Genomic DNA, 16190 nt, shown 5'->3' with positions numbered 1-16190 from the left:
CTCCTACCTTCTCCCCATCAGCAAAGATTATTCCAAGAACTAGAATAAAATTAATATAGAGATGCTATTCGCAACTGCACCCCCATAATACATAATCCACTGTTGTCTCCTACAAGGTTGTCTTTTCCCTTTTTGGTGGCCTTGAAGGACAGATAGAGTAATTTAGATACAGCAATAGACTGCTTTGATCATCACAATGCCACTTCTGCTCACAAGTACTACCTAGAGCTACCAAGGGAGAAACTCTTCCATTTCCTAGTCTAAGACTCATCTTTGAAGTAATGTCTAAGTAAAGAAGGCTAAGCAATGGGTACCTGTTAAGGCTGATTTCACATTGATTTGTTTCACTGACTGGCAATCTGGTCAGTGGGAGAAATAGCAGGTCTGCCATATCCCCCAAGTTCTCAGGATTACAAGATGCAAATCCCCCATTTTCTTTGTTTCCTCATTGGAATCCAACTAGAATCTCCTTCTGAATGGTGTAACTCACCCTGTAAGAACCCTAATCCCCAGAATCCTAAATAAGTATTATTTTTCCGTCTCTTTGTACATCATTATAATATGAGATTTAATGTCTTAGGCTCCCTTTTTTGGTGTCTGGGTAGTCCTTTTTTGAAGATAACCCTATTTATTTCTAAAGTATCATTTGATCTTAAACACATAAATACATTTTGTTAATTTTACCTATAAGAGAAATTCCAACTTTTACAAATATAGAAATCTCAGAAGAAAGAGAAGCTGATTAATTATGGTTTAAAAAGACAGAATATTTTTTCTTTTTTAAATTGATAAATAAAAATTGTATATATTTATCATATACGACATTATAAAATATGTATACATTGTGAAATGACTAACTCAAGCTAATTAACATATGTATAACCTCACATATTTATCATTTTTGTGGTGAAAATACTTAAAATCTACTCTAGGCAATTTTCAGGATTATAATACATTGTTATTAACTATAGTCACTATGTTGTACAATAGATCTCTTGAACTTATTCTTCACATCTAACTGAAATTTTGTATCTTTTGACCAACATCTCTTCAGTCTGTACTCCTGACCCCTTACCCCTAGCCACCATCGTACTCTCTGCTTCTGTGAGTTCAGCTCCTAGATTCCACATTCAAATGACATCATGCAGTATTTGTCCTTCTATACTTGGCTTATTTTTTTTAACTTTATGATTCTCCATTTCTGATTGGGAAAGCCCATTTCTATTAGTTCAAGTTTCTCTTAAGATGAACAATTTTGTGGTAGGGAAGGAGACTAGAATAGGCTTATTACAGAGCCAGTCACATGAGAAAGTACAAGACATACATAAGTCATCTACCAGTCATATAAGAAAGTACAAGACACAGGAAGGCAATCAATTTATACATACCCTTTTCTAGAGGTAAAAGAAAAAAATAAAAATTGGCCCACACCTTAAAATAAGCATGCATTGGCTGTTTTCTCACTGAGAAATGTTGACCAAGTCCATTATATCAAATTTCCAAAAAGAAAACACTTACGGTATAATTGCCAGCTTGAATGTTCCTAAGTGCTGCTTCTAGCTGTGTAATCAAGAAACGTAAAGTCAAAGCAGGAACAATTTCCTCACCATTCTGGCTGTTAGCTGCAACTTCTCTCTGTGGAAAATTATTCAGTTAAAAATGTCTATAAGTCTGAACAAACATCTACATATGTTTACATTATACAAATAATTCATGCTCATTGGAGAAAATTTTAAAAATAGAGATAAAGACGGTTTAAAAAAAAAAAATCCATACCAACCAGATACACTGTTCTCATATGTTTGCTTTTAAGTAGTCCGATGAATGTCGTTTGTAACTATTTCCTTAAAACAATTTTAAATTTTATTTTATTTATTTATTTATTTATTTATTTATTTATTTATTTATTTTTGAGATGGAGTCTCGCTCTGTCGCCCTGGCTGGAGTTCACTGGCGCAATCTCAGCTCACTGCAAGCTCCGCCTCCCGTGTTCACACCATTCTCCTGCCTCAGCCTCCTGAGTATCTGGGACTACAGACACCCACCACCACACCTGGCTAATTTTTTGTATTTTTAGTAGAGATGGGGTTTCACCATTTTAGCTAGGATGGTCTTGGTCTCCTGACCTCGTGATCCGCCTGCCTTGGCCTCCTAAAGTGCTGGGATTACAGGCGTGAGCCACTGCGCCCAGCCTCTTTAAAACATTTTTTAAAAAGGCATTCCTATACCTGCCAAAGGGTTGGCAACATCCACACCTACTTCAGAGGAAAATGGTAATCCCAGTTCACTCTCATACCTTCTATTGTGTGACATAGCTAAAATATTCCAGCCCTGAACCTGTGGTAAACAGGAATGCTGGCATTAATACCAATACAAGGGTAAACCATTTTATGCTGCAATCTGATTGCAACTGAGCTAATGCATGCTTTATTATGTACTATAGTTTATTTACATGGTTGAAATGAAAGGTAGGACTATGTCTTTGTGTCCATTCCCCAATGTTTTCTACCCACAACGGCTTGGTTTATATTACATAATCTGTTTAATAATGTATAATCTGCATGGAAAATTTAATCTACACTTCCATAACTTGGTTTCCATATATAACATTTTCCTGTTTTTTTCCTAGCTGACTAGATACTTTATTTCAGTCTCCCTAGCAATCAATTTAATGAGCCTCTTCTCTATCAATACATGTTCTCTAGGTAAAGTAACCCAGTATCATAATTTTAAATAGTGTCTACATACTGACAGTTTCCAAATTTACATTTCTAGCCAAGAACTTCACCTACATTCCAAGCTCAAACAATATCTCTTGAATTTGAATAGAAATACAAAACATAATACTGAAGTTCCACCTCTGTCAAACAGCCTAGGTGGTTTCAAATCAGTCTCCCAATGAGAATAACTAAAACAACGGGACAAGATATAAAAACTAATTATCTGAAAGCAATGGAAAACTACTAACACAATGAAAATAAAAACCTCTGAAAGGCAATCTCTGGAGAGCTGACTTTTGACTGACTTTTGGAGCTACTTTTCTCATTAAAGTAATTGCCATATTCAGTTGTGGCACAGCCTTCAGCAGATTTGCAAGGCTTGGGGGAAAATTGGAGTGCATGGTCTATAAGGAGGAGCAGCCCTGGTAAACAGCCCATTCTTTTCATTGAGGCCCTGTTTTTGTTCCAATGGAAGCAGACCATAATTAAAGGATTTCAATGGAAATAGTTTATTTGGGAGGTACAGAGACAATGGTAGGAAAGTGGAGAAGTAATAAAGTGAAGGAAAAGTAGGTTTTAATTAAAGGATGTGTTATTATGCTAGTTACCCATGGTGGGCCACTGCGGTTATCACAACGGGGAAATTTTGGAAAACTCAAAAATACAAACCTCAGTATTAACCAACTCAAGGGAAGAGGCAACTGGGATATTCATATAATAACTCCCAAGACCTACTGATTGAGTGCTTTCTGGGGTGATGGGGGAATATTAATTCCTTGGGTCTTCTGAGCTGCCATGAGAAGTAGCTTTCTCCTGTTCTAGAAAAAAAGGCCCTGAGGCATAGAGATATAGACATGGAAAACTAGAATTGTCCAGAGCATACTGAAAATATAGGTAGGGTCCAATTGGTATGGGGGGGCAATGACAGAATCTGCTACAAAAGGTAGAGAAACTGACCCTTCCTCAAAAGAACTAAGTAAAGGTTGGAATCATTTCTATCCCAGGTTGAATTAAATAATTTACTAGAAAAGCAAAAATAAGAATTACTAGAAAAAAATGTGTCCAGTTTTTCAAGTTCTTCACAGAGGCAGGTTGCTATGAGACAAACCAGGTAGCTACTCCAAGTAGCAGAATTATCTCTATTATCTTCAATGACTACAGTATTTGTATTTATGTTTTCATGTTCATTCATGATTTTGGATATTTTTGCTTTCGGTTTTGGACATACTTATTACGCATTTGTCAATTTGATTGGTCTTTCCAAAAAAGCAAGTTTTGGATTTATTGATCCTTTCTATTTTATGTTTTAAATAGATTTCATTAGTTTTAACTATCCTTATTACTTCCTTTTCAAGTGCTTTTAATTTGCTGTTCTTCCATTAACTTCTTGAATGTCATGCTTAGATAACTGATATTCAACCTTGCTTCTTTTTCTAATATTTACATCTCAAGCTATAAATTCTCCTTGAAGCACAGCTTTATCTAATAACACAAGATTTGATATATATTTTTATTCAGTTCAAAAATGTATCTAACTTCTATTGTGATTTCTTCTTTGGCCAATTGGTTACCTAGATTAGAGGTATATATCTTACCTTATGAACATACGGTTTTCTAGATTATCTCTTTTATTGATTTCTAGATTAACTGAAGAGTAGTTAGAGAACATACTCTGTATATTTTGATACTCTGAAATCTGATGGGGCTTGCTTTGTGACCTAGCATATGGCCAATTTTTGTAAATGTTCTGTGTGCACTTAAAAGAATGCATAATCTGCCACTGTTGGGTGCAGTGTTTATACATGTGTGTCTCAATTAGAGCAAGTCTGCTGTAGGTCTACTAATTCTGTGTCCATGTTATATCAGTTATAAGAGAAGTATGTTAAAATATCCCACTGGGATTGATTTGTCTTTTTCCTTTAGTATTATCTATTTTTATCATCTTATCATTCATAAAGGTTCTGTATATATTTGGTCCTACTTCTGGAACTTATCTTCTATTTTCTAGATATGTCTGAGGTATAAAGAACAAGTAACACAATCTTTTAGTTATTAGAGCTTCATAACAACTTTTAATGTTTAAGTGGGCAAATTCCCAGCCCTACTCCTTCATACTTTTCTTAAATAATTTTCTTGGCTATTTTTCCTCTTATTTCCCATGTGAACTTTAGACTTAGCATTTAGCGACACTAACCAAAAAAATCCCATTATTTTAGTGGAATCATGCGATATTTGTGGATTTTAATTTATAGAAAATTGACTGCTTTAACATACTGCGTCTTCCTACATGTACTATTCCATTCAGGTCCTCATTTCTTACCTTTAATAGAGTTTTAGAAAGTTTTACTTATTGTTTTAATATGCAGTATTGATTTCTAAATTTAATGTGAGTACAATCAGTGCTTAGGTACTTACTAAAACACAAATTCAAAGACCTATCCCCAGAGATTTTGATTCTTTAGAACTGGTACAGGGGTCAGATATTCTCATGTAAGTGGTTTAGAACAAGCTTAAAGAAATACTAGTTTATCTTGTACATTTCTTAAGTATTTTACTCAGTATTTTACTTTTGTTATCATTATAAATAAGTACAGTTTGCCCTCCATATCCACAGGTTTTGCCTCCATGGATTCAACCCACCATGGATTGAAAATATTTGATAAATAAATAAATAAATAGAAAGAATACAATAATTTTAAAAAATTGAAAAGACAATACAGTATAACAACTATTTACATAGCATTTACATTGTATTAGATATGTAATACCTAGATGTAATCTAGAGATGGTGTAACACATACGGGAGAATGTGTACAGGTTGTATGCAAATACTATGTCATTTTACATAAGAGACTTGGGCATCCTTGGATTTTTGTACCGGGGGTGTCCTGGAATTAACCTCCCACAGATACCAAAAGATGACTGTACTATTCTTCTATTTTTACCTTCTAGTTGCTATTTTTTGCATATCTGAAGGCCACTGATTTCTGTCTTGTTGTTTCTAAGTGATTTCCAAAAGATAAGAGGGAAATGGTAGCATTATTCTATCAATTTCTAGCCAGAATTCACTTATACTGTGGTAAATTATCTCGGTTAAGGTTATAATTGTGCATAAAGTCTTATGAATATCTTCAGTTTGTTGGAATTTTTAATCATAATAGTATTAATGTGTTTCATGGAAATAACCATATATTCTTTCATAGAAAGACAAATGTAGCCTTCTCAAGACAACTATGGTGCTTTACCCTTCTCTTCTCTAGTTAATTGCCACAAAGAAAAGAGTATATAATTTTCTTTAACTTCAGAAAACTCCATTAAGAAATGGTATCTTTCTTATGCTGAAAGTTACCACAAATTATACAGAAAAACTACTTTCAAGATGGAAATCTACAATATAGCTTCCAGAATATTTATTATACAAATAATTCCAAATATTTGGATATGATTTTTAAAAATGCATTTTTGACAAATGTGTCAACTTTTTTTTTTTTTGAGACAGAGTGTTGCTCTGTCTCCCAGGCAGGAGTGCAGTGGCATGATCTCGGCTCACTGTACCTCCACCTCCTGAGTTCAACCGATTCTCCTGCCTCAGCCTCCCAAGTAGCTGGGACCACAGGCATGTGCCACCATGCCCAGCTAATTTTTGTATTTTTAGTAGAGACCAAGTTTCACCATGTTGGCCAGGCTGGTCTCAAACTCCTGACCTCAGTGATCCACTCACCTCGGTCTCCCAAAGTGCTAGGATTAGAGACGTGAGCCACTGTGCCTGGCCAAATGTGTTAACATTTTATGAGTTAGGAGAACAAAAGCAGTCCCCTGTCCCAGACTGGCATGTTACAGGTTATTAGCAGGACTGGAATAAACACTAGACCTTGTAGTCAACAGCTTACAAGCTACCAACCCACATTCCTACCATTATTCTTAAAAGGCTAGCACCAAATGACTCTATTTGTTCAACTTTTTAGAAGTCTACAGTCAAGGTTGACAACAAAGCCCTTTACAAGAAGTAAGATGGAGATTTTTTTCAAGACCTTGGCTATACTGTGTGGTTTAAAAAGAATTTTAATTAAAAAAGTCATATACAGACAGCTGCACTTCTGCCCCAAATAACAACTTATGACGTTACCTGCATAGTTTGGAAGGAAAAATCTTCTTGTAAGAACTTCTTAATGTGAGGAACCACACCTTTTGGTAGAGTATTAATTGCATTTAATAACTTCTTCACTTCTAATAGTAGGTTAACAGGGACAAGATCAGTAGGTATGTCATTTTCCTGTTTGTTCTAGAAGACATTATTGATTAAAAATTTACACAGTTTGCATATTCTCATTCACTCTTAATTCTAAGATCAGCCAAAGCATTAAAAAAGGAACAAAGCTCATTTTCCCTTGTTCTCCTAGCTTCTATGACAGAATTATAAAAAATCTAAGGAAGAATAATATGTTCTCTGCTCTCTAGGAACTTAAAATATTACATATATTATTCTCTGTAACATGAAAATTATATCTAAATGTGCTTTTTACATTATATGACTGATGCGTCAGCTATTAAACACACAGCAACTTGAAAATGAATAGTTGTTAATAGTTCAAATTGTAAACAAAGTAGTAAAGTAGAATGACTCAACATCTCAATTCAGTCAGAGCTGTATAAATAGTAATAATCTTCAGGAATTTATTCTTACAGAATTAATAAGGCACAGTAATTGTTAACTGATAACTACACAATCAAGTCCTGCTGGAATATCTACTAACATTAGTTGTGAAGAACTAGTGGACAACAGAGATGGATAAATGGCCTAGAACAGATGGATGATGGCCTTCCTTCAAACCTTAACAAGAAACCAGAGTTCTTATACTCTGTGGGAATTCTAGGAATATGATTATGTTGCTGTTGATCTCTGAAAATAAGAACTTCTTATTGCAGAAGCCCCATAGAGCTTGAGATGCTGAAATGCCCTTGTATGGGCTAACTCACTTTCAGTTCTCTAACAGACCTGGAGCTACACAGGAAAGTAAGTAGAAACCAATAAAGTCCATTGCAGGACTATCTGTCTAATCTCAACTATGGTGTTTTGCCCTTCTCTCCCCTAGGTCATTGCCACAAGGAAAAGAGTTTGCAGAGATTATCCAGTAACTTAGGAGGGGAAAATATATAAACATAAAATAACCATGGTATTCGGTATCCACTTGTAGGAGGTTATCATTGTAAAAAATGGGTTTGAGTACTAAATTAAGATTCCTCCATCCCCATCTATATTCCACAAATATACCTTAGATTTTATAGCATTTCATAAGATTATTTATGTAGAAAAATGTTAACCGTTTACTAACTCTCTATGAAGGATGTTCATTGTACTACTATTCATTTTACTATCTTGCAATCTTTCTAAAGGTTTGAAATTTTTCAAAAAGTTAAAACAAAATTCTACAAAGTAACTAGAAAAACCCCTTATAAAGAATGACCAATATCAGTAGTGCATATAATTCAAACTAAAGGTCAATTCTACTCAAAAGTACTTGTAGAATCATCGGATACTAATTAACAAATTTATACATGGGCAAGATTATAGCATGAATAAAAATTTTTCAACAGGAAATATTGTAAGTGTCATGCCTACAGCGTCTTGCTTTGTCACCTAGGCTGGAGTGCAGTGGCATGAACACGGCTCACTGCAGCCTTGACCTCCCAAGCACAAGTGATTCTCCCACCTTAGCCCCTCAAGTAGCTGGAAATACAGGCATGCACCACCACACCCAGCTAATTTTGGTATTTTTAGCAGAGACAATGTTTTGCCATATTGTAAAGGCTGGTCTCAAACTCTTGAGCTTAAGCAATCAATCCGCCCACATTAGCCTCCCAAAGTGCTGGGATTACAGGCATGAGCCACCATGCCTGGTCCACACTTTTAATTTAAGTTAGTTGTCAAAAAATATTTGATGCTTAATCCATTTTGGCAAAATTGATTAAATATCTAAACAAAATTCAGGTCAAAGTGTCCACCTTCCTTGCTTTTTGTATTCCTGATTCTGCATCTAGAAATGTCTTTTCTGGATCTAGTCCCCTGGTTCTTGCCTTTGCTCAACTGTACAACCCTACATACATGTGCATATAGCATACTTCCTCTGCAGCATTTTTTACAGCGATAACCTCATGCAGGTGAATACCGTGCTTATTTTATGTTTATATATTTTCCCCTCCTAAGTTACAGGATAACCTCTGCAAACTTTCCTACCCATGTTCCTGCAAACATGTGCCTACCCAAGTCTCATGCTGAATTGTAATTCCTAGTGTTAGAGGAGGGACCTGGTAGGAGGTGATTGGATCATGGGGGTGGTTTCTAATAGTTTAGCATCATCTCCCTAGTGCTGTCGCATGATAAGAGTTCCCACAAGATCTTGTTGTTTAAAAGTGTGTGGCACCTTCCCCTTTGGTCTCTTTCTCTCCTGCCGCCACGTGAAGGCGTGCTTGCTTCCCCTTTGCCTTCCCCCATGACTCTAAGTTTCTTGAGGACTACCCAGCCATGCCCCCTCCTGTCCAGCCTAAGAAACTGTGATTCAATTAAACCTCTTTTCTTTATAAATTACCCAGTCTCAGGTAGTTCTTTACAGCAGTATGAGAACAGACTAATACACTTATTAACAAGTGGACATCAATCATTATATAAAACTATGTGGAAGGTAAAATTATACTAATGAGAACCTAACAAATATCTCTTAATCAGTCTTTCACAAAATATATGAACATATGATGTTCATACAACTAGTTTTAACTACCATAAAAGTATATCACTGGTAATAAAAGCCTTTTATGTATAATTCAGAGTTATTCTCTTTCATTTAGACCTAGAAGTTCTAACCATAAAGATAATAAAAATAAAGAATAAGTTTAACTTCAGAAATGACTCAAACGTCTTAGTAAATAAAATTCTGTATGTGTGTATGTGTGTTTTCTTTATATGTATATAGGTTTTGTTTTGCTTTAATTTCCCCTTCAAAAAACAAATGAGGGATTTCTTAAAAATGATTGTTGGGTTATTTCTGGATGATTCCATTCAATTTTTTTTTACTAATTTTTAGTTATGGTGAGGAATGGTATTTAGAATGACAACCTTGAGATACAGTATCAATCATCAAAGCAAGATTTAACTGTGACCATTTTACTTATGAAGGTAGGAAAGTAGGCTCACTCAAAAAATTTTAACACGTAATTAAACTGACTAGATGTATTACTGCATTTGCATATATAATTAATTATCAATTAACTAACAGTTAATGAAAATTAAACTTTCTCTTACCAGTTGACCAGATGATTTTTCTAGCTTATTCTCAGTTTCTTCCTTCCTCTGATCCTCCACAGCAGGATGCCTATTTTAAATGAAAATGAGGTATATTAAGAGCATCTTCTCACAAAGAACACAAATTGTAGTAGTAAAGAATCTAACAATTGAATTATTGTCTGAAAGTGTAACCAAAATGTATCAAAGACTGGTAATGGTGGTAGGTGCCATATCTCTTTAGAGACTCATGTTAAAGAAGACGAATTGGCCATGCCCTTACTGGATGGTGGTAGAGAAAACAGCAAGCCAATTATGAAAAACACTGCATCCTTAACAGATATGCAGTAGACCAAACTAATGGGAAAAAAACCTTATAGCACTGTTCCAAGGTAAAGGGAAAAGAGGTCTTAAAAAGGTTGATGTTTTGTGTGTTTATGAAGATATTACAGGTTAGGGAGAGATCTATCTTAAATAGATCATCTTATTTTCTGTTTGGGGTTCCTAAACTTACAATTGTCCAGTTTTCCAAAATATTTTTAACTGAGGAAAAGTATCATATTTAGAAACTATTTGAGTAATAAGGGATCACTTGACAGGTTTTGCTTTTAACCTTAGCTCAAAATGTGAACACACTGCAGTATTATATACTGAACTGAAAATTTTATTTGTAATGTTGCTTTTGCCTGCATACAGAACCATTGTATAGGAACCATAATAAAGGCACCATAATATAGGGTCATAGGTGATTTATTCTATGTTAATTCTGGACACCAGCAGAGATAACACTGAGGTGAGAAATTTATATTGACTGATTTATTCAGAATTGTACTTTATAAATATTCTCTTATTTGACTTTACATTTATGCATTCATTTGACAGACAACCATTTATCATCTAATATATGCTAATTGATTTTGTTGGGGTAAATTGGGACAGATAAATAAAATGGTATTGTCCATTTTCAAACTTCTAGTGAAAGTTTCTACAAAAGATGATATACACATGCCAACATTTCACAATATGATTCTCAGTGCTCTTTAAGGTGCCACGGTAAAAAGAAACCTGTCTTTTCCTCCACTTCCAAGCCCCACTTGCCCTACAAAAAATAAAGCAAAACACAAGTTATATCTTTGTGCTATCAAGGAATGAAAAATACTGCAGCAGTATTCTGAAGTCTTTCAAGGTTTGAGAAAGAGTATAACATGTTCTCAAGTGTATACTCTACCAGCAAACTCCATTTCATGATCATTCCCTCTTTAACCCAATACTTCTCAATCCCAGATACATATTAAAATCAACTGTGAAGCTTTTGAAACATCCAGATGCCCAAAACCTACTTCATGTCTTCTGAATCAAAAGTGCCATGTGGGCTGCTATATTTTCTATAGGCTCCATTACAAATTTTGATGTGTAACTCCAACTTACCCTCACTTCCTCCTCTGTACAAATAAAGCCAAAACCTCTTAGCAACATAGTCAAAATACACCCCAAAAATTTTTCTTAAGTATTTTTTCTTGCTATTTCCTCAGCTCAGCCAAATGACCTTTTATCCTCCCTTGCTTGTAAACCCATCACAATGCTTCTCATTCTTTAAAGATCAGTTCAAATGTTACTTTGTGGAATAATTATTTTTTCTTCCTATAGACAGCCACAGAATCTCTAATAGTTATGCAATTTGCCTAAAGATATAATTACTTTTTATATATCTTCCCACTATATAATAAGCTATCTCTAGGTACACAAATATTGTCTTAGTCTTTATTCCCTAAGCACCAAGGAATCAGTAAATGCTTTTGTAAAATAAATTAATAAGTCACACTGCTTATTATATGAGATAGTTCAAGCCTGGAGGGAGATCTCCAATACGACCCTGTTTAGTATTATATGAGGTAGAGGTGGGCTGAACTTGCCCTGCTTGGAGAAAAGAGAATGTCATTTGGCCTTGGCCCACTGAACCACTCAGCAGGGTCTTCTGCATCATGCTTAAATTACCCTTTAGAAAATAGGGATAATAACAGCACTCACTTCATAGAGTTGTTATGAGGTTTATGTGTAAAACATAATGTAAAAACACTAAAAACAATGCTGACATAGTAAGTCTATGTAAGCACTTGTTAAATCATAAAACATTTTTGTGAGAATGACTGAACAATAAGGTATGGCACATTTTTCAATTCTTAGCTCCTCAGTGAGGATGTAATCCCTAGTGAACTTTTGTAAAATTAGATTTCACCCAGTCTACATCACCCACTAACCAAACTTGCTGAAATGTCTTGAAGCATAAGGGTTTCCTGTTCATACTGGCTTCCCAAGGTTACGTGGAAAAAACAAACATTATGTCTTTAGGAATACAACAAATGCAGCTGGTTTTTGTCAACCTATCCTTTACCTCTGGGGTCCCCAGCCCCCAGGCCACAGACAAGTACAGGTACATGGCCTGTTAAGAACTGGGCTGCACAGCAAGCAGGAAGTGAGCAGTGGGCAAGCATTACCACCTGAGCTCCACCTTCTGTCAGATCAGCAGCAGCATTAGATTCTCATAGGAGTGCAAACTCTATTGTGAACTGCCCATGTGAAGGATCTAAGTTGCCCACTCCTTGTGAGAATCTAATGCCTGATGATCTGAAGTCGAACAGTTTCACCCCAAAACCATTCCCCGCACCCCCACCATCCGTGGAAAAATTGTTTTCCACGAAACCAGTCCATGGTGCCAAAAAGGTTGGGGACTGTGGCCTTACCTCACAAAAAATTCATCTGGTAGAGAATCCATGCTGCACAAGGTTTCTTTACAAAAATCTTATTCCACTGCTTGCCAACTGACTTTAAATACTGCCCTTTAATGCTGTAAGGAAAATAATATTTTTATGAAGATAGGAAAGTTACACTCTTTCTCCCCACTATGAAAACAGAACGTGATCATTTGAAGAAAATCTGAAACTGCTCTAAAAGAAGAAAATGAATCATAGTTTCGCCACCCAAACATAATCACTACTCATCCTTTAATATGCTTATTTTTTACCAAGCATAGGTATATTTTACCAATTTGTAATCATATTAAATAAAAGATGTTCTACCCCACATTTTTCACCACTGAATGTTATATCAAAAGAATCTTTCATGTTATTTTATCCTCCTAGTAAACATTCTTAATGGCTATACAACAGCTGGTTGATTGGGATTTCCTTGGCCATTTCCTTATAGTTGGTCATTTAATTTCCCATTTTTTTCTATTATAAATAGTTCCATGATAAACTCAATTATCCATACAGCTTTTTCCACATTTGTGATTATTTCTTTACAATACATTCTCAAAAGTAAAATTAATAGATCAAAAGACACAAATATTTCATTGTTCAATGGCTTCCCAAAAGGTTTATACTAATTTATTTCCCATGAGGTATATATGAGTTCCTGCTTAATACAATCTTGACAGCACTGTTTTGTTTTCTTTTAGTCTACAAATAACATGTAGCTACTTTTTCCCCAAATCATGATTCTACATCTCCATAAAATAGAAGACACAGGATGTAAAGAACACTTGCACAATCTGTGGTTCAAATATCAATGGATGTTGTGGATACTTCCTGAAAGAAAAATAACACTGAGGCAACACAAATGAAAACAAAGAGACTAGAGTATCATAAGTATATATATTTATTTACATAGCTATTTATTCCAAGAACAACTCTTCTAAAACAGGTCCCATTTAATCTTCTTACTGAAAGTTCAAGCCTCTAGACTCCAGTGCTTTGTGCTAGGCTGGCTTCCTTTTCTGATCCTACCCTAAGCCCGGAAAGTGTTAAATTATATATAAAACTATTGTTATATGCTCTGGGGCAAAAGAAGAAATAGAAAAGAAAGTGGCAGCAACTGCATAAATAAAATGGACGTAGGCTGCCTTGCTGCCAAGCACAAGACTGGATGAAGTTTCTCATTTGTTGTCTCTGAACTGCTTATTTATCCAGTAATTGGGTAGCCATTTCTGTAACAGCATATTTAATACAATTCCATAAATTAGATTGGTACAGCCTTTCTAGCTAGGCCCATTACTAAAAGGTAATTCAGCATAGGGTAATTCCCAAATCAATAAAATATATTCCACAAGATCAACTGTAAGTCACTTATTAAGAATTCAGATTGTGTTTACTCAAAGAAACATTGTTTTAATGATATCCTGCCCCTCCCCCACCAAAAAAAGCAATTTACCACAGACAGGAAGAAGTAAATGCAGAACCTGAACCCATCTAAAACACCCTGAGGTCTGTGTATCTTTTCAGTAAGCTTAGATCAAGGGAGGGGACAACTCAGGCCTGGTATAAGGACTAAAAGAAGTCCTGTGGAAATCATCTGTAAAACAAGTATTCCTAATTATGATACCACATACCAATATTCTACATCTGACTCACACCAACTCTAAGTAACACAGAAAGTATTAAGAGACAAGAATAATTCTGCAACAATTTGCTACTGATATCTTAAAACACAAAATTACACATATATACACAGAGAGAGAGATTTCCTTCTAAATTTCATTTAAAAGAGCTTTCTTCTAATATCTCTTAATTTCTTGCTCATCCCCAACAAAAACACTTCATTGCTGTATTACATCTTGCCTACACAGAATGAATACAGTTTTCCTAGATAATTGTTATTCTATAGTTTTACTCATTTCAAAAATTCAGTAAGCCAAGTCATATTTTAATTTGTATTCTCTGTTCAAATACTGATGAAAGATACAAACTACAGCTAATAACGAAGCAGAGAGGTTGAATAAACCTTGTCATTCACACTAGATCAGATCTGCTTCATCTCTTTAATAAAGCTGTATAGAAAAAGACATAACTGAGGATTTTAGAACTGTGATCAAACTACTTTTATGGTTTCTATAATTCTCTGTGTTATTTTAATAAAAAGTAACAACAGTTAAGGCATTATTTCATACCTAGAGAATACAAATGTACGCCTTTTCCAGATAACAATCCCCTCATTTCCAGAATTTATCAAAGCTCAGACTTGGAGTCCTCCCCCTCTGCTAAGCTCTTCTTTGGCCAGTAGCTGTTTGCATAGATCACAGCAAGGATGAAAAGAAGGGAGGAAAATCCTCTGGTGATGAGATAAGAGAGGACAGAAGGCCTCTGCTAAGCTGTTCAGTGTTCAGCTTGAAAAAGAAATGGGTGGAAAATTAATCAACAAATCAAAAAGATACTTGGATCCCGAATTAACAGAGTTAAGAAAGGCTAGGGCTTTTTCAGCTTGCTCAAAATACAACCTGAGATGAATCTCTGTGATGAAAGGTTTTCCAGGAGAAAGAATCATCAATCTCATCATTTCCCAGGAGCTAAACAGGTATGTGTGGCAAACACTACCAGCAATAGCAACAGCAGTAGCACTTTACAGCCTCTGTTGCGAGAAAGGCGAAGTGCCTAGCAACCAAAAGGAAGCAGTCAGCCTGAAATGTCACCACTGAGCTGCTAAAATAACCCAAAGGTTTTTACCATTCTAGAAGAGGAAACCTTTTAAGAAAGCGTTAACATGAAGGAAAAAAAAGAAAGGTAAATCTAGTTTCCCCTAGCGTATTCATTTCAATAGACTTTCCCTGTCGGCAGTAAACTAAATTTACTCTGACTTCCTGGGATTAAGAGACTGCTCTTCTCCAGAAATCTATTTAGGTCCTTGTTGGTTGATCTGAGGGCAAGCTAAAGTTCAATGTCAATTTACAGCACACCTTTATCCACTAACCAAGATGATCTTATCTGTAGGCTGTGTTTTACTGGTTGAAAAATAAGGTAATACCATCCATATCTTAATAAACAGTGACATGCCTTCCTTACTGTTCCTTCTACCTGAACTCTCAGTTCCTACTTTCCCTCTTACTTACTGAAATTTTAACAATTTTTTTTAGTTGTAAAGGTATTTTGTTTCCATTTTTAAAGCTGTGTTTATTCACGTCAAAGCAGGCACAGCTCTTATGCATAATTTTTTAATAATCCACTTAAACATTTAACTTGTGTTACTATCACCTTCCTAAACTGTATATAGGCACATTTTTATAAAAATCCACTCAAATGTTCATCTTGACTAAAATGTTACCAAAATACCAAGGGTTCAGTCTAGATCCTACTGCTGGCCGCCTGGAAAGATAATCACTGAAACAAGTTTTGCCTAGGAAGAAGGCTTTAATTGGGTGCTAC

General features: G+C 35.2%; 1 protein-coding gene across 13 annotated transcripts in view; it reads right to left on the bottom strand.

Annotated features, from left to right (window-relative positions):
* DZIP3 (DAZ interacting zinc finger protein 3) overlaps positions 1 to 16190 on the bottom strand; it is a 105331-nt gene that overhangs the window by 76665 nt on the left and 12476 nt on the right. For 10 of the 13 annotated variants that reach the window (XM_005247917.4, XM_005247914.5, XM_047449256.1 and 7 more), the window contains exons 2-5: positions 12738 to 12841; positions 10018 to 10087; positions 6847 to 7002; positions 1519 to 1635 (exon numbers count right to left, since the gene is read on the bottom strand). In XM_005247917.4, the coding sequence (XP_005247974.1) occupies positions 1519 to 1635; positions 6847 to 7002; positions 10018 to 10087; positions 12738 to 12769 (375 nt within the window). In that variant the 5' untranslated portion in view covers positions 12770 to 12841. Of the gene's footprint in view, positions 1 to 1518; positions 1636 to 6846; positions 7003 to 10017; positions 10088 to 12737; positions 12842 to 14941; positions 15158 to 15268; positions 15385 to 16190 lie in introns of those variants that run through there. The other 3 variants (XM_005247916.4, XM_005247915.4, XM_047449254.1) reach the window with 3 other exon arrangements.

The sequence above is a fragment of the Homo sapiens genome, chromosome 3 (assembly GCF_000001405.40).
Source record: "Homo sapiens chromosome 3, GRCh38.p14 Primary Assembly".
Lineage (NCBI taxonomy): Eukaryota > Metazoa > Chordata > Mammalia > Primates > Hominidae > Homo > Homo sapiens.
Note: the sequence above shows the minus strand (reverse complement) of the source record. Positions and strands in the feature narration are given on the sequence as shown.